General features: G+C 47.7%; 1 protein-coding gene and 1 pseudogene across 5 annotated transcripts in view, besides 1 other annotated feature; one reads left to right on the top strand and one right to left on the bottom strand.

Annotated features, from left to right (window-relative positions):
* The window catches only part of DOP1B (DOP1 leucine zipper like protein B), a 137,451-nt gene that overhangs the window by 118,364 nt on the left and 188 nt on the right, over window positions 1–18,899 (bottom strand). For 4 of the 5 annotated variants that reach the window (XR_937581.4, XR_007067795.1, NM_001320714.2 and 1 more), the window contains one exon: window positions 11,040–11,203. Coding sequence is in view for 2 of the 5 variants with exons in the window: in NM_001320714.2 (NP_001307643.1) it covers window positions 11,040–11,177 (138 nt within the window). In the remaining 3 variants the exon portion in view is untranslated. Of the gene's footprint in view, window positions 1–11,039; window positions 11,204–11,317; window positions 11,377–18,899 lie in introns of those variants that run through there. The other variant, NM_005128.4, reaches the window with a different exon arrangement.
* On the top strand, window positions 5,705–6,990 carry RPL3P1 (ribosomal protein L3 pseudogene 1; annotated as a pseudogene).
* Window positions 18,593–18,892: a silencer, noted in NCBI's record as "silent region_13281". NCBI's record gives its function as "represses an Ori minimal core promoter by ATAC-STARR-seq in GM12878 lymphoblastoid cells {active_cell/tissue: GM12878}" and the evidence as "EXISTENCE:reporter gene assay evidence [ECO:0000049][PMID:35858748]".

Raw genomic sequence — 18,899 nt, 5'->3', positions numbered from 1 at the left:
CATGGCTGAACTGTATCCCTCTCAAACTCCTATGGCAAAGCCCTTCCTGACCTCCACCTGAGACTGGGACTGTATTTAGAGACAGGTTCTTTTTCTTTTTCTTTTCTTTCTTTTTTTTGAGACAGAGTCTCACTCTGTTGCCCAGGCTAGAGAACAGCAGTGCCATCTTGGTTCATTGCATCCTCCACCTTCTGGGTTCAAGTGATTCTCCTGCCTCAGCCTCCTGAGTAGCTGGGATTACAGGCATGCGCCACCATACCCAGCTCGTTTTTATATTTTCAATAGAAACAGGATTTCACCATGTTGGCCAGGCTGGTCTTGAACTCCTGACCTCAAGTGATCCACCCATCTTGGCCTCCCATAGGCCAAGGGATTACAAGCATGAGCCACCATACCCGGCCGGAGACAGGATTTTTAAATAGGTAATCAAAGTAGAATGAAGCAGTTAGGGTGAGCCCTAATGCAGTCTGACTGGTGTCCTTGTAAGAAGAGGAAATCTGGGCCAGGCGTGGTGGCTCACGCCTGTAATCCCAGCACTTTGGGAGGCCGAGGCGGGCGGATCACTTAAGGTCAGGAGTTCGAGACCAGCCTGGCCAACATGGTGAAACCACATCTCTACTAAAAATACAAAAATTAGCTGGCTGTGGTGGCAGGCACCTGTAATCCCAGCTACTTTGGAGGCTGAGGCAGAAGAATCGCTTGAATCTGGGAGGTGAAGGTTGCAGTGAGCCAAGATCGTGCTACTGCACTCCAGCCTGGGCAACAAAGTGAGACTCCATCTCAAAAAAAAAAAAGAAGAAGAAGAAGAAATCTGGATACAGATACACCCAGAGGGATGATCCTGTGAGGACCCAGGGAGAAGACACCATCTCCAAGCCAGGCAGCGAGGCCTCAGAAGAACCAACCCTGCCGACACGTTGATATTGGACTTCTGGCTTCCAGAACTGTGAAACAAAACAATCTGTTGTTTAATCCACTCTGCCAGTGGTATTTTGTTATGGCAGCCCTAGCAGACTAACACAGACTCCAGGCTGAAGAGGATTTATGTGAACTAATACTAGTCAACAGGGAAGAGGAGTTGATTCAGGCAGGGGTAAAAAATCAGGATCCCGGCCAGGCACGGTGGCTCACGCCTATAATTCCAGCACTTTGTGAGGATCACTCGAGCTCAGGAATTTGAGACCTGCCTGGGCAACATAGTGAAACCCTGTCTCTATGAAAAGAAAATACAAAAATTAGCCAGGCATGGTAGCGCACACATGCCTGTAGTCTCAGCTACTTGGGAGGCTGAGGCAGGAGGATGGCCTGAGCCCAGGAGGCAGAGGTTGCAGTAAACTGAGATCATGCCATTGCACTCCAGCCTCAAAAAAAGAAGAAGGATTCTGTTGGACTCACCCAAGTTTTTATTAATTTATTTATTATTTTGGTTTTTGGTTACCCAGGCTGGAGTGCTGGAGTGCAGTGGTGCAATCTCGGCTCACTGCAACCTCCGCCACCCAGGTTCCAGAAATTCTCTTGCCTCAGTCTCCCAAGTAGCTGGGATTACAGGTGCCTGCCATCACGCCCGGCTAATTTTTGCATTTTTAGTAGAGACGGGGTTTCGCCATGTCAGCAAGGCTGGTCTCAAACTCCTGACCTCAAGTAATCCACCCACCTTGGCCTCCCAAAGTGCTGGGACTACACACGTGAGCCACCACGCCTGGCCTCTCACCAAGTTTTTAGGTAAAGAGTTCTTGCAGCCGATCTGTAAAGGGCTGGAGTAGTTCACTAGGTCTCCAAGCTCCAACCCGTGTTCTTCCCACCACACTGCAGCACTAATTCTGAAACACACCATCAGGAGGCTCTGCTTTAAACAGGAGGTGCTTGTAGCTAACTGATGAAGACTCCGGAAGCTGAACTGTGTGACACCACAGACCTCATGCTGCCCTTCCTGTTCATGGCTGCTCTGTGAAACCGTAGTGTGTCATCAGATAAAAGCAGCGAAAAAACAAAAAACAAAAAAAACTGGTTCATTTAGGACCATTATAACTTTTTTTTTTTTTTAAAGAGCTTTAATGATAAGATTTTTAAATCCAGAGTTAATTTATTTCTATTAGCCTTCACTTCCAAAATCAAAGCTGTAAATCAGGCTTGGTAGAGCACCTGGGTTCAGGGCTCAAAAGGGCACTTGATGAAAATGTTTTTCTTGGGCCGGGCGCGGCGGCTCACGCCTGTAATCCCAGCACTTTGGGAGGCCGAGGCGGATGAATCATGAGGTCAGGAGATCGAGACTATCCTGGCTAACACGGTGAAACCCCGTCTCTACTAAAAATACAAAAAAAATTAGCCGGGTGTGGTGGTGGGCGCCTGTAGTCCCAGCTACTCGGGAGGCTGAGGCAGGAGGATTGCTTGAACCCAGGAGGCGAAGCTTGCAGTGAGCCAAGACGGGGCCGCTGCACTCCAGCCTGGGCGACAGAGCAAGACTCCATCTCAAAAAAAAAAAAAAAGATAAACTATTCTCTAACACAGAAAAATTCTAAAAATGATGCTGAAACATTGAGCAAGTTTGAAAATGATACCATTAGAATCTGTCTACAGCTGGACATACCAAGACCTTCTGGGAACCAGTTTTCTTAGTTGAAAAAAGGGTTGACTGGATGAGTCTTCTCCTCCAAATCTAAGTTTTATGCATTATAACATTTAGTTACCTACCTTAAAAAAAAGAATGTTGACCCTAAGCTTTTGTGTCCTATATCATTGTTTAAATCTGTATTATAAAGAATTTTGCTAATTCAACTCTCAACTCTTTTTTGAGACAGAGTCTTCCTCTGTCCCCAAGGCTGGAGTGCAGTGGTGCAATCTTGGCTCACTGCAACCTCTGCCTCCCAGGTTCAAGCGATTCTCCTGCCTCAGCCTCCCAAGTAGCTGGGACTACAGGCATTCGCCACGATGCCTGGCTAATTTTTTTTATTTTTAATAGAGACAGGGTTTCACCATGTTGGCCAGGCTGGACTCAAACTCCTGACCTCAGGTTATCCACCTGCCTCAGCCTCCCAAAGTGCTGGGATTACAGGGGTGAGCTACTGCGCCCCGCCCAACTCTCAACTCTTACTCACTGAATTTCTGTGCATAAGTCCAAGAAATGTGACGATCACCAAAGCCTTAAAAAAATTCCTTTTTTTTTTTGAGCCAGGGTCTCACTCTGTCACCCAGGATGGAGTGCAGTGGTGCAAGAGCTCCAGGCTGAGGCTCCAGGGATCCTCCCACCTCAGGCTTCTGAGTAGCTGGACTACAGGTGTGCACCACCATGGCCAGATAATTTTTGTAGTTTTGGAGAGACAAGGTTTTGCCATGTTGCCCAAGCTGGTCTGAAACTCCTGGGCTCAAGTGATCCTTCTGCCTTCAGCCTCCCAAAGTGCTAGGATTACAGGCATGCATCACTGCACCCAGTGAAGAAAATTCTTTATTCATACCAACTCCTATCAGGGACCCTTGAATGCAGAAGTTGCAAGTTTCACAGAACCAAGTATTCCTGATGCTGATCAAGATGTGCTCCCTCCAGCACCATCCAAACCCTCCACATCCAGTAACGGCAGGAACTGATCTCAGGCCTAATGGTGCGGGCATCCACACTGGCTCTTGTGCTTGCTGACGGCCCGGGGAATTCTTGGAATGGGTGAGGCAGAGGTTCCCTTGCTCACAGCCTCCCTGGGAGGAAGCTCAGTGGCTTCCCCTCCCCGCCAGAGCAAAATCCTATCAGTGGCCTGACCCTGCTGTATCTCTGGTCACTCTGTCCTCTGGCTACTCCTGTCCCCTTCCCATGCCTTGGACACAGGCCCATGCCCCAGATTGCCCTTCCCACCAGCTTGCTCACTTCACCCCAACCTCTGCTTTAAGGTCACGCTGTCAGTGTCCTCTCTGTCTAAAATAGCACTCCCTCCTCCTTCCTCCATACCCCACTTCCCCAGTTTATTTTTCTTCTTAGCATTCAGCATCTGACATCACACAGTCATCTGTCGTCTGTCTCTCGCCAAGAAAGCGTCATTTCTTTCCATGAGAGCAGGGGCTTAGTGTTCAATGCCTTATCCCCAGCACTGAGGTGTTAACAGATCTTGTCCTACCACTGTCATAGCATTCTAGGGCTGCTATAACGAAGTGCCACACACCAGGTGGCTTCAACAACAGAAATGTATTCTCTCATGTTAAGTCTGAAATCAAGGTGTCAAGAGAGCGGCTTTCTTCTGAAGGCTGCATAGACAATCTGTCCCGTGCCTCTCCCCCCGCTGCTAGGAGTTTGCTGTCATTCTTTGGCACTTCTTGGCTTGTAGATGCATCTTTCTGGTCTCTGCCTTCATCCTCACATGGTGCCTTCCCTCATGCATGTCTGTGTCTACATTTCCCCTTTTTCATCAGGACACCAGTCACACTGGATTAGGGCCACCCCCTAATGACCTCCTCTAGCTCGATTAGCTCTGTAAAGATGCTGTTTCCAAATCAAGTTACATACTGAGGTACTAAGGGTTAAGACTCCAGGGTTTCTTTCACGGAGGCCAAAATTCAATCCATAATAACCACTCAGTTGCCATAAGACACTGGGCAAGTAGGTTAGCCTTCATCGGTAAAATGGGCCTAATAATTGCGCCTACTGCATTTGGGTGATGGAGACAGGGTCCCTGGCAGCAAAGAAGCACAGCCCTTTCCCCTTACGTAAGCTATACAGATACTGACATGAAGAAGGCTGGAGGCTCTGCTCATGAGCATGGGCCTTGGAACCAGGCTGGTCGGGGTCTGAGCCCTCTCTCTGCCACTGGCTGGCAGTGGCCTTGCACAAGTGGTTGAACCTGAGACGGATCTCAAGATACATTTTAAGTATTATACAATAATGCACGTCAACTCCTTAGCACGCAGTGAGCTCTCCATGAATGTCAGCGGCCTCAGGCAAAGCAGAGGTAGGGACTGACAGCATCACCTTTGTCCCAACCGTATCTTGCAAATTCTTCAAGGTGGCTGCTTAAACTCAACAGTTAATCACAGCAGCAGGGAACAAGAAATGAGATCCAAGAGGAGACCCTTGGGATGGGAATCCTCAGGTAACAACTCTAACAAAGTTATGTCTTTTTTTTTTTTTTTGAAACAGGGTTTTGTTCTGTCACTCAGCACTACGTGCTGCAGCGTAGTGGCATGATCATGCTCACTGCAGCCTTGATCTCCTGGGCTCAAGCGATCCTCCTACTTCAGCCTCCTAAGTAGCTGGGAGGACAAGCAAGCACTACCACGGCTGGATAATTATAAATAAATAAATAATAATTTTATATATATATATTTATTTATTTATTTAGACAGAGTCTCACTCTGTCACCCAGGCTAGAGTGCAGTGGCACGATCTCAGCTCACTGCAACCTCTGCCTCCCGGGTTCAAGCAATTCTCCTGCCTCAGCCTCCTGGGTAGCTGGGACTACAAGTGCATGCCACCATGCCCAGCTAATTTCTGTATTTTTAGTAGAGATGGGGTTTCACCATGTTGGCCAGGGTGGTCTCCATCTTTTGACCTCATGATCTGCCGGCCTCGGCCTCCCAGAGTGCTGGGATTACAGGCATGAGCCACCGCGCCAGGCCTAGAATAGAAATTTCTTCCAAAAAGATACACAAATGCCCAAAAAGCATATGAAAAGGTGCTCAAAATTATTAGTCATTAGGGAAATGCAAATCAAAACCACAGGGAGAGCTCTACCGGTGGAATTTGATTGTGTGATGTCTCACAGAAAGTTCTCCACTCCCAGACATGGGTCCCTCTGCTTCCTGCCATAGGAGTGAAGAAATAGGCAACGTGGGAAGGTGAAGAGCTTCCCTAAGGATGACCCTTCCAAGCTGGTCAACGTCACAGCCTTCCTGGGATACAAGGCTGGCATGACCCACATCACACGGGAAGTCGACAGGCCAAGATCCAAGGTGAAAGTGAAGGAGGTGGTAGAGGCCATGACTACTGTGGAGACACCACCTATGGTGGTTGTGGGCATTGCGGGCTACGTGGAAACCCCTTGAGGCCTCCGGACCTTCAAGGCCATCTTTGCTGAGCACATCAACGATGAGTGCAAAAGGTGTTTCTCTAACAACCGGCATAAATCTAGGAAGAAGGCCTTTACCAAGTACTGCAAGAAATGGCAGGATGAGGATGGCAAGAAGCAGCTGGAGAAGACTTCAGCAGCATGAGGAAGCACTGCCAAGTCACCCGCCTCGCTGCCCACACCCAGACGCGCCTACTTCCTCTGCGCCAGAAGAAGGCCCAGCTGATGGAGATCCAAGTGAACGGAGGCACCATGGCTGAGAAGCTGGACTGAGCCCAGGAGGGGCTACAGCAGCAGGTACCTGTGAACCAAGCGTTTGGGCTGGACGAGATGATCGACATCATCGGGGTGACCAAGGGCAAAGGCTACAAAGGGGTCACCAGTTGTTGGCACACCAAGAAGCTGCCCCACAAGACCCACCGAGGCCTGTGCAAGGTGGCCTGGATTGGGGCATGGCATCCTGACCATGTGGCCTTCTCCATGGCATGTGCTGGGCAGAAAGGCGACCATCACCACACTGAGATCAACAAGAAGATCTGTAAGATTGACCAGGGCTACCTTACTGAGGACAGCAAACCGATCAAGAACAATGCCTCCACGGACTATGACCTGTCTGACAAGAGCATCGACCTTCTGGGTGGCTTTGTCCACTATGGTGAAGTGACCAATAACTCTGTTATGCTGAAAGGCTGTGTGGTGGGAACCAAGAAGCGAGTGCTCATTCTCTGCACATCTTTGCTGGTGCAGACCAGACGATGGGCTCTGGAGAAGACTGACCTTAAGTTCACTGACACCACCTCCAAGTTTGGCTATGGCCGCTTCCAGACCATGGAGGAGAAGAAAGCATTCATGGGACCACTCGAGAAAGACCGAATTGCAAAGGAAGAAGGAGCTTAACGCCAGGAACAGGTTTTGCACCTGGTGGGGTCTCAATAAAAGTTATTTTTTAAAATTATTAATTAAAAAAAAAAACCCACAGGGAGAGACCACTTCACACAACTAGGATGGTTATCATTTTTAAAAAACTGAAAATAGGCTGGGCACAGTGGCTCAAACCTGTAATCCCAGCACTTTGGGAGGTTGAGGCGGGCAGATCACCTGAGGTCAGGAGTTCGAGACCAGCCTGGCCAAGATGGTGAAACCCCATCTGTATTAAAAAGTAAAAATAAAAAATTAGCCAGGCATGGTCGCTAACGCCTATAACCCCAGCTACTCAGGAGGCTGAGGGATGAGAATCGCTTGAACCCAGGAGGTGGAGGTTGCAGGAGCCAAGATTGCACAACTGCACTCCAGCCTGGGCAACAGAGCGAGTGTCAAAAAAAAAAAAACTTGAAAATAAGTATTGGTGAGGATGTTAGGAAATTGGAACACTCACGCATTGCTTTTGGTGGATATGTAAAATGGTGCAACTGCTGGGAAAACAATTTGGTGGCTCCTCAGTAAGTTAAACATAGCGTTTCCGTATGTCCCAGCAATGCCCCTCCTAAGTATGCACCCCAAAGAATTGAAAACTGAGGTTCAAACAAAAGCTTGCAAATGAATGCTCATAGCAACACTATTCACAATAGCCAAAAGGTAAAAATCTAAATGTCCATCAACTGATCAATGGATAAAGAAAAATGTGGCTCGGCGCGGTGGCTCATGTCTATAATCCCAGCACTTTGGGAGGCCAAGGCAGGCAGATCACTGGAGGTCAGGAGTTCAAGACCAGCCTGGCCAACATGGTGAAACCCTGTCTCTACTAAAAATACAAAAATTAGCCGGGTGTGGTGGTGTGCGCCTGTAGTCTCAGTTACTCGGGAGGCTGAGGCAGGAGAATCGCTTCAACCTAGAAGGTGGAGGTTGCAGTTAGCCGAGACTGTGCCACTGCACTTCAGCCTGGATGACAGAGTGAGATTCCATCTCGAAAAAAAAAAAAAAAAAAAAGAAAAAGAAAAGAAAAGAAAAGAAAATGTGACTTACCCATACAATAGAGTATTATTCAGCTGTAAAAAGGAAGGTAATTCTAACACATACTATAACATGGATGAACCTTAAGAACATTATGCTAAATGAAATAAACCAGTCACAAAAAGCCACATGTGGTATGATTCCATTTCCATGGAAAGTCCGTAGAGAGGGAAAGTAGATTCGTGGTTACCGGGGCTGGGGGGAGGGAGGAATGGGGAGGAACTGCTGAATGGGTACGGGTTTCCTTTTGGAGTGATGAAAATGTGTGGAACTAGATAGTAAGGGTTACACAACATGGTAAACATACTAAAGGCCACTTAACTGTGCACTTTAAAATGGGTAAATGGTGAATTTTGTGTTATGTGAATTTTATCTCAATAAAGAAAAAGAAAAAACAGAAATAATGAAGACTGTGCCCTCCCCAACAATAAATATGCTGTTCGGCTGGGCACGGTGGCTCATGCCTGTAATCCCTGTACTTTGGGAGGCTGAGGTGGGCGGATCACTTGAGGTCAGGAGTTCGAGACCAGCCTGGCCAACATGGTGAAACCCCATCTCTACTACAAATACAAAAAAATTAGCCAGGCCTGGTGGCGGGCACCTCTAATCTCAGCTACTCAGGAGGCTGTGGCAGGAGAATCGCTTGAACCTGGGAGGCTCAGGTTGTCATGAGCCGAGATCGTGTCACTGCACTCCAGCCTGGGTGACAGAGCAAGACTGTTTCAAAAAGAAAAAGAAAAGAAAGAAAAAGTAGGCTGTTCTTAGACTCCAGGAGGGCTGAGTACTGAAAAGTGAAACATCCAGAAGAATGTGGGACTCAATGCGGTTCTACTGCTTCTCCCTTTCCCCTCAAAAAGCAATCCACCTTCAGAGCAAGTCTGCGAATGCAATCTGCATTCACCTAGAGAATTCCTGAGATAGAGCTGTAAAACCAAAGAATTTGCAAGCTCTTATTTCCTGTTTTAAAGACCTTAGAAACATTTATCCACCCCAGCCAGCACGGAGCCGTGACATTTACAGGTCGTAAATATACCTTGCAAAAGACCAGCAGCTTACTGGCCACGAGCTGTAAGAACTGCCCATCTGCAGCGTGCCTGATAGCCATCTGTCAGGGCTGGAGGGTCAGGCTGCTGAAATTCTTCACTCACCCCAGTTCCCCTGGTGTGTTTGGCCTGGGGAGCTGAGATCTGCAGAGTAGAGTTAGACATCTCCTAACTCCCACCTAGCACTTGGGCTCCAAACTCAGGTCCTGTCTGAACAGCAACAGAGCCAGGTACAGCTTATCTAAGCCCAGATATCATCTACCTACATGTTGTAGTGGTCATCTGAGCACTTGAAAGTCCCTGTGTCACTTTCTTTCTGGGAAAGAAAGGATGGGAAAATATAATGCTCCCATCTATATGTCACTTATATAGAGATGTGGTTCCCAACCTTTTTGGCACCAGGGACCAGTTTCGTGGAAGACAATTTTTTTTTTTTTGAGACGGAGTCTTGCTCTGTCACCCAGGATGGAGGGCAGTGGTGCAATCTCAGCTCACTGCAAGCTCCGCCTCCCTGGTTCACGCCATTCTCCTGCCTCAGCCTCCTGAGAAGCTGGGACTACAGGTGCTCGCCACCACGCCCGGCTAATTTTTTTGTATTTTTAGTAGAGACAGGGTTTCACCGCGTTAGCCAGGATGGTCTCGATCTCCTGATTTTGTGATCCGCCACTCACCTTGGCCTCCCAAAGTGCTGGGATTACAGGTGTGAGCCACCACGTCTGGCCACGTGGAAGACAATTTCTCCACAGATGGGGTGGCAGATGGGTGGGAGGGCGCATGGTTGGTTTCAGGATGAAACTGTAGATCTGCTGTTGTACCACCTCAGATCATCAGGTATTAGTTAGATTCTCATAAAGAGTGGCCAGGTGTGGTGGCTCACGCCTGTGACCCCAGCACTTTGGGAGGCCGAGGTGGGTGGATCACTTGAGGTCAGGAGTTCGAGACCAGCCTGGCCAACATGGTGAAACCCAGTCTCTACTAAAAATACAAAAATTAGCCAGGTGTGGTGGCACGTGCCTGTAATCCCAACTACTTGGGTGGCTGAGGCAGGAGTAATCGCTTGAACCTGGGAGGTGGAGGTTGCAGTCAGCCAAGGTTGCGCCATTGCACTCCAACCTGGGCAACAGAGTGAGACTGTCTCAAAAAAAAAAAAAAAAAGATTCTCCTAAAGAGCATGCAACCTAGATCCCTCACATGTGCAGTTCACGATAGGGTTTATGCTCCAGTGAGAACCCAGTGCCACCACTAATCTGACAGGAGGCAGAGCCCAAGCAGTAATGCTCGCTCGCACCGCTCACCTCCTGCTGTGCGTCCCGGTTCCTAATAGGCCACGGACTGGTACCGGTCAGCGGCCTGGGGGTTGGGGACCCCTGATATAGAGTACAAGGTCAAGCCCACGTGTGACCAGTTTTGGTTTTCCTAGATCTGACCCCATACACACACATGCACACACGTATGCACACACATGCACACACACACACAAGTTTTGGGCAGATTTCAATATTTATTTCAACTTTTATTCTTCTAGGAGTTACCAGACAGCAGTAAAAGGATCAAAAAAGTAGATCAAAGAAGAAAAATAAATAAAAATCCTAAGGAGTATACAAAGAACAGTCTTTGAATACCTAATTTGACCATTTTAAATTTTATCTTGTCTAGACATTAACATTGTTAAGAAAAAGACTTCAACTATACGAACACTATATATATTTTTATGCTCAGAAAAAGCTGGAAGGAGGTACATACATTGATAGGTTAACAGTGGGTAACACTGGAGGACAGAATTATGAGTGGTTTTTTTCTTTTCTATATTTTCTAATTATTGTAATCATCATTGTATATATAATGGTATTTCCTTGAAATAATATAAAGATTATACTGTATAATATGTAATGATATAAAGATTATAAAATACAAATAATATAATCATGTAATTTCTTATAATAATAAAAAGACAATTACGTCCCCACCTCCATGCAATCCAAATAGGATACACCCTACATACCTTGTTGAGTTTGCCAAGTGAAGATATGAGATCCGCCCATTCACTCGAGGACTCAAAATTTCTCAAAGCCTTTTCAATCACTGAAGAGTAGCTTCTGTATCTGTAATCATTTAAGAGCTCCTGCTCTTCTGGATCCATCTTACATTCTCACAGCAGAAAAGTATCTAAAAGCAAATCAAAAAATAACCAAATGAGAGAGCCATTTGGGGATACAAATCATTCCCAACCCAGAGCTACAGAAGACACGTGTCCACAAACACAACTGTGCACAAACTCACTGGGCAATCCTGTTCAAATATTTAGCAAGGCTTCTGGGCCAGGCACTGTGGGAGATGAAAGATAAATAGTTCCCGCCCTCGTGGATTCTGGGGGAGAACAGGAAACAGGAGCAGACAGCATAGAAGTGCTAGGGCTCCAAGTAACTGACAAAATTAATTCCAGGATCAAAGCTCCAAAGCTGCTAGACTATATGTTGTTGCCAGCCGGTAATTTTAAATGAGCACAGCCCCTCCCATCATATGGCATTTCTAAACTTTTTATGTTTTTTTGGAGGCAGGGTCTTACTCTGCCACCCAGGCTGCAGTGCAGTGGCACGATCACGGGTCACTGCAGCCTTGACCTCCTAAGCTCAAGTGATCCTTCCTTCCACCTCAGCCTCCCAAGTAGCTGGGACTATTGGGATGTATCACCATGCCTGGCTGTTTTATTTAAAGTGTGGCAGGCATCTACCCAACATGCCTTGTTCTCCTTTTCTGTACTAAAGGAGCACTGGTTTTGTTCATGGTAACACTGTAATTCCCAGACTCCCTTGCATCTAGGTGGCCATGTGACAGCTCTTGACAATGAGATGTCAGTAGAAGCTGTGGGTCAAAAGGCTGTTGGAAAGGAGGCAGACTTCCTGGCATAAGCCTTTTGTCCTCCTTTCTTCCTCTTTCTGCCTAGAACAAAGGCATGATGTTGGAGTGAAGCTACATCTTGCACCTGTCATGAAACATGCACGAAAGTCACAAACTAACGATGGCTGAGTGGAACGACAGAGCCCCTGCAGCCCCAGATGGCATGATGAAGGCACCACATGCCAACCCCGGATGCTGTAATGTCTGGTGTATGTTTTCTGCACATAACAGCTAATTTGTTTAAGCCACTGTTCTATCAGGTTTTCTGTTATAGCCAACCACAATCCTAATTGATATATGAGGACAAATAGTATTTCACCAGTACTGCTCAGTCTGAAAGGAAAGACAAATACAGAGCAATGCTATATAGTTAAACGTGAGTGAACGCGGTTAGCTGGGTAGATTGCTAAACAAGTTGGATGTAGTCAATCAAATAAAAAGGCAAATATGGTAAATGGAAGAAACTGAACTGAAGGTACAACACGTTCTTTAAGCTTGAGTCTTTCATTTACAGGCCAGTACAGTTATAAAAATTTCATGAAATCTCATACTTCAATTTCCGATCACTCCAGACCCAATCCAATCTTCACCAGGCCACCACTACTTTCTTTCTTTCTTTTTTTTTTTTTTTGAGACAGAGTCTCACTCTTGTTGACCAAGCTGGAGTGCGGTGGCGCAATCTTGGCTCACTGCAACCTCTGCTTCCTGGGTTCAAGCGATTCTCCTGCCTCAGCCTCCCAAATAGCTGGGGCTACAGGCACGTGCCACCATGTCCAGCTAATTTTTGTATTTTTAGTAGAGACGGGGTTTCACGTGTTGGTCAGGCTGGTCTTGAACTCCTGACCTCGTGATCTGCCCACCTCAGCCTCCCAAAGTGCCGGGATTACAGGCGTGAGCCACCGCGCCTGGCAACCACCACTACTTTCAAGTCACCAATGGCAGAGGTCCTTTCTGTTTCCTCACTTTACCTCTCAGTAGCACTCTGCGGCAGACCACTTCTTTAAGCAGCCTAGCAGCCTCCACTTGGCCCACACACTCCTCTGGCCCCTCCAGCACCAGAGCTTGTTTCCCATCTACCTCTCTGAACTTCTTTCCTCCTCCTCTACCAACTGCTAAATACATTCCCTGGCGGCTGGGCATGGTGACTCACACCTGTAATCTCAGCACTTTTGAGAGGCCAAGGCGGGCAGATCACTTGAGGTCAGATGTTTGAGACCAGCCTGGCCAACATCGTGAAAACCCATCTCTACCAAAAAATAAACATAAAAAATAGCTGGGCATGGTGGCACACACCTGTCCCAGCTACTCGGGAGGATGAGGCATGAGCATTGCTTGAACCCAGGAGCCATGGAGGTTGCAGTGAGGTGAGACTGCGCCACTGTACCCCAGCCTGGGTAACAGAACAAGACTCCATCTCAAAAAAAAAAGAAAGTGAAGACTTTGGGAGGTGATTATGTCATGGGATTAGTGCTCTTTTAAAAGGGACACCAGCTGAACGGAGTGGCTCACATCTGAAATCCTGGGAGGCCAAAGCAGGTGGATCACTTGAGTCCAGGAGTTTGAGACTAACCTGAGCAACATGGTGAAACCCCATCTCTACAAACAATACAAAAATTAGCAGGGTGTAGTGGCACATGCCTATAGTCCCAGGTACTCAGGAGTCTGAGTTGGGAGGATCACTTGAGTTTGGGAGGTTGAGGCTGCAGTGAGCCATGATCATGCCACTGCACTCCAGTCTGGGCAACAGAATGAGACCCTGTCTCAAACAAATAAACTAAATTAAAGAGACCCAAGGGAGCCTGGCTGTTCTTTCCACTGTGAGGATACAGCAAGCAGGCCCCACCAGACACCGAATCTGCCAGCACCTTGATCTTGAACTTCTCAGCCTCCAGAACTATAGGAATACACTACTGTCACTTATAACAGAAATACCTAGTTTACACTATTTTATTGGAGCAGCCTGAATTAACTAAGACAAGCATCCATCCACAAAATATGGTCTATCCACAAAGGAACGCTGAGGCAATGGAAAGGAACCAAATACTGATACGCCGCAACTTGGATGAACCCTGAAAACACACGCTTAGTGGAAGACGCCAGACACACAAGACCAGACATTGTATGATTCCATTGATATGAAATGCCCTCCACAGGCAAATCTAGAGAGAAGGCAAGTAGGTTAGTGGCTGCCTGGGGTGCAGTGAAAACAGGGAGTAATGGCCACTGGGCACGGCGATCTTTCTCAGGTAAGGCAAACGTGCTAAAATGGGATGATGGCGATGCTTGCACAACTCTGTAAATGTATGAAAAATCACTGAAATTATCTGGGCACAGTGGCTCATGCCTGTGATCCCAGCTACTCCAGAGGTTGAGGTAGGAGGATTGCTTCTGCCCCGGAGGTTGTGACCAGCCTGGGTCACAAACAACATGGCAAGACCCTGTCTCAAAAACAACAACAACAACACTGAATTATACACTTGAATGAATTTTATGAGCTGCAAATTATAGTGCAATAAAGCTGTTAAAAAAAATAAAACTAGGCCAGGTGCAGTGGCCCATGCCTATAATCCCAGCGCTTTGGGAGGCCGAGGTGGGTGGATCACGAGGTCAGGAGTTCGAGACCAGCCTGGCCAACATGGTGAAACTCCATCTCTACTAAAAATAGAAAAATTAGCTGGGCATGGTGGCTGTAATCCCAGCTATTCAGGAGGCTGAGGCGGGAGAATCACTGGAATCCAGGAGGCGGAGGTTGCAGTGGGCTCAGATCGCACCATTGCACTCCAGCCTGGGTGACATAGTGAGACTCTGTCCCCACCAAAAAACAAAACACACACACAAAAAAAAACAACAGTAAACTCTCAATTCCATCTGCTCAACATGCTCCTTCTCCCATCTTTTCCTTCTCAGAAAGTAGCCCCTTTACCTGTTGGATTATTCTAGACTCTTCCTTCTCTTCTCCTGCCATGCTCAACCCCAGTCCTGTTTGCCTCTTCTTCCTAAACACCTGTTGACTCAATTGCTCTCCATCGCCACACCGCAGTGTGGGCTGCCTGTTGCCTGCATGTTTGCAGGAGCTTCCCAATGATTCTCCCACACTTGCCCCTTTCCAGTGCCTTTACACACAGTGCTCCAAGAATCCTTTTAAAACAATGCATACAACTGCCATGTTTAAAATTGTTTCCATAAAGCTTAAAATAAGGCCAGGTGCAGTGGCTCACGCCTGTAACCCCAGCACTTCGGGAGGCCGAGGCGGGTGGATCACCTGACATCAGGAGTTCGTGACCAGCATGGCCAACATGGCGAAACCCCGTCACTACTAAAAATACAAAAATTAGCCAGGTGTGGTGGCACATGCCTGTGATCCCAGCTACTCGGGAGGCTGAGGCAGGAGAATAGTTTGAACCTGGGAGGTGGAAGTTACAGTGAGCTGGGATTGTGCCACCGCACTCCAGCCTGGGTGACAGAGTGAGACTCTGTCTCAAAAAAAAAAAAAAAAAAGAAAACTTAAAATAGAACCAAACAACCCCTTTTCCAGCTTACAAGACTCTACCCACTTGTCACTGCACCCTCCAACCCCAAGACGGACCCATCCTGCCACAGAGCCTCTGCATATGCGTGCCTCTCTGCAAAAATATACTGCACCTTGCACACCCACCCACAAAATAAGACCGCCTACTCAATCCTGGGAAGGCCTGTCCCTTTTTCTGAAATAACTGCCTTCACACATTTTGAAAATATTAAGGAAAAGATGGTAATGAGAGCTGGTAGTTTGTTCCTTTTGCCAAGTAAAGACTAAGAAGTTGATATATCCAAAATGGTCCATATTATTATTATTATTATTATTTTTTCCAGAAAATTCAGTTCTGAAACCCAGCATCTCTAAACCACCGCAATACTCCAATGGTGCACAGTCTGTTCACTCTACTAAGTGTCTAAACATGGGGGAAAGAAACATAAATAAGACAAGGTCCCTACTCTCATAGTTCATAGCCTAATAAAAGTGGAAGTACCTAAATACATAATTTCAGTTTAATGTGGGACACGTAAGTGTCAGAGGGTGGACAAAGTGGCCTTGCTCCTTTTAACACACATAAGTGACAGAGGGTGGACAAAATGACAGAGTCTGATGATACCAAGAGGAAACTCAGCCACCGGCAGAGGAGTCCTCAAAGTCCAGAGGTGTGGGCAGCTAGAGTTACCAGGAAGAGAACTGTGATAAGGTGTGTATTGACGATAAGGTGTGTATTTAGAAGGTGGGGTGGCAAGGGACGCCACTGCTCATGGCAAGAAGGGCATCAGCCAGGTAAGAGCAGTAGCTGGAGCAGTTCAGTGTTATGGTTGGCCATATGAAGAAAGTGCTATTTGGTGTAACTACCAGCACACGAGAGAAGTTTGGAAATCGTCATTCATGCAAGCTCCTTTATTTCGAAATATGGGGCACGTGGTATGCTACCAAGCAAGTCTTCTGGGTGAGCTTGGTAAATTCACCATTTATGCATGCATTTGTTTTTCTTCTTTTTTTTTGAGATGGAGTTTCGCTCTTGTTGACCGGGCTGGAGTGCAATGGCGCGATCTCAACTCACCACAACCTCCGCCTCCTGAGTTCAAGCGATTCTCCTGCCTCAGCCTCCTGAGTACCTGGGATTACAGGCAGGTGCCACCACGCCCGGCTAATTTTGTATTTTTAGTAGAGATGGGGTTTCTCCATGTTGGTCAGCCTGGTCTCGAACACCCAACCTCAAGTGATCCACCCACCTTGGCCTCCCAAAGTACTGGGATTACAGGCATAAGCCACTGCGCCCAGTCTCTTTTTTGTTTTGTTTTGTTTTGGTTTTTGATTTTTGAGACAGAGTCTCGCTCTTGTCACCCAGGCTGGGGTAAAATGGTGTGATCTTGGCTCACTGCAACCTCTGCCTCCCGGGTTCCAGCGATTCTCCTGCCTCAGCCTCCCGAGTAGCTGGGATTACAGGTGCCCGCCACAATGCCTGGCTAATTTTTTAAAATATTTTTGGTAGAGACAGAGTTTCACCATGTTGGCCAGGCTGGTCTCAAACTCCTGACGTAAGGTGATCCGCCCACCTCGGCCTCCCAAAGTGTTGGGATTACAGGCATGAGCCACTGCACCTGGCCTTATGCATGCATTTCTTTTTTCTTTTCTTTTTTTTTTTTTTTTGAGACAAGAGTCTCGCTCTGTCGCCATGCTGGAGTGCAGTGGCGCCATTTCGGCTCACTGCAACCTGCGCCTCCTAGATTGAAGTGATTCTCCTGCCTCAGACTCCCGAGTAGCTGGGACTACAGGCGCATGCCACCACGCCCAACTAATTTTTGTATTTTTAGTAGAGACACAGTTTCATCATGTTGGCCAGGATGGTCTTGATCTCCTGACCTTGTGATCCACCCCCTCGACTTCCCAAAGTGCTGGGATTACAGGTGTGAGCCACCACGCCCGGCTGCATGCATTTCTTTACTGCAATACACGAGTCCTGTGAGATGGGTATTAGGCCCAAGATGAGGATATTAGAAGTCAGGCCATTCGGAAAATTGCCCAGGTCACACACCCAGCAGCTAGCAGAACCAGATTCGAGCTCAGGTCAGTGAGATAGTACAGGTCTCCACTACATTATGCTACTGATAAAATTATTGGTTCAGTTCTCAAATAGCTCTTTTGCCAATGATCTTGCAATCTATCCTGGATATGTCTCCTGTGAGAGATTGAAGAGTTCAGTAAAACCGACAGTTATACAGGCTATAAATAACTAGACACAGAAAGAAGTAATCACACAAGAAGTGTATCTGCTCAGATACCTTAAAATCGAAAATGTCAGCAAGAAATCTCTCTCTTTACCCATTTTTAATTTCATAGAAAATCAAATTCAGGGTTGGGCACTGTGGCTCATACCTGTAATCCCAGCACTTTAAGAGGCCGAGGTGGAAGGATTGCTTGAGCCCAGGAGTTTGAGACCAGACTGGGCAACATAATGAGACCTTCGTCTCAAAATAATAATAATAATAATAATTTAGAAAAAGAAAAAAACAAGTTCAAGAGAAAAACCAACTGCCAGATCCCAAAAAAGTTCACTGTAAATATGTCTATATGAAGGAACATTTCTCAGTTCGATGAAAATGAGGACAGTGACCCTACCACATAAGCAAAAACATTTAGCAACAGATAACAGATATGTACTATTAGTAATAAAATTGATAATGATCCTTAGTCCACAGCACAGAAACACTCATCACCAATGGGCTTAATCAACTCTGGGACACACTGTTTTGAATGTGGTCTTTCAAAGTGGCAATTAAATTGTACTGGAAAAAATTTAAGCCACCTAATGGCAGCAGACTTGTGGGGCCGGGGGGACGGTCTTCCCTCGCCTTACCAAAAAAATCCTAGCAAAGTCTTCCCAATTGTGGGGCTGCAGTCGCGAGTGTAAGGCAACACTGCGGGTAACAGTCCCCGCGAGCAGCCGGGAACCCTGCAGGGCGCAGGGGCCAGGCTGGCAGAGCGCGCACTGCGGCCCGGATCCCTTCTCCTGGGGACTGGCTGGAAGACTGGGGTCTTCCCCAACGAGGAAAGCCCTTAGTTCTCACAGGTCTGCGTCCCCAGCCTCCTCCCCAGCCAGGGCACCAGCAAACAAAGGCTGAGCGTCTCTTCGTGGGCCGGCCCCGGGAGGGCGCGCGGGCCGCGACCCACCCCTGGACCTGCACCTGCCGCCCCGCTCGGCGAGGGCGTGGCCGGCATCATATCCTCCGCGCCAGGGTCGGGTAACCCTAGGGGACCCCACCCAGTCTCCCCGCTGCCCTCCCGGTCTCCGGCCCCGAGCTCTCCGCCCCCGCACTGCAGCAGAGCGCGCCGCAGGCCCGGGCCGCGCGCCGGTAAGCCACCTGCACCCCGGGCCGCCCCACGGCGCCGCCCAAGCCCTCTGGACCCGGAGAAGGACCCGCGGGCCGGCGGGGAGGAGAT

This window comes from Homo sapiens, chromosome 21 (assembly GCF_000001405.40).
Source record: "Homo sapiens chromosome 21, GRCh38.p14 Primary Assembly".
In the NCBI taxonomy this organism is placed as follows: Eukaryota; Metazoa; Chordata; class Mammalia; order Primates; family Hominidae; genus Homo; species Homo sapiens.
Note: the sequence above shows the minus strand (reverse complement) of the source record. Positions and strands in the feature narration are given on the sequence as shown.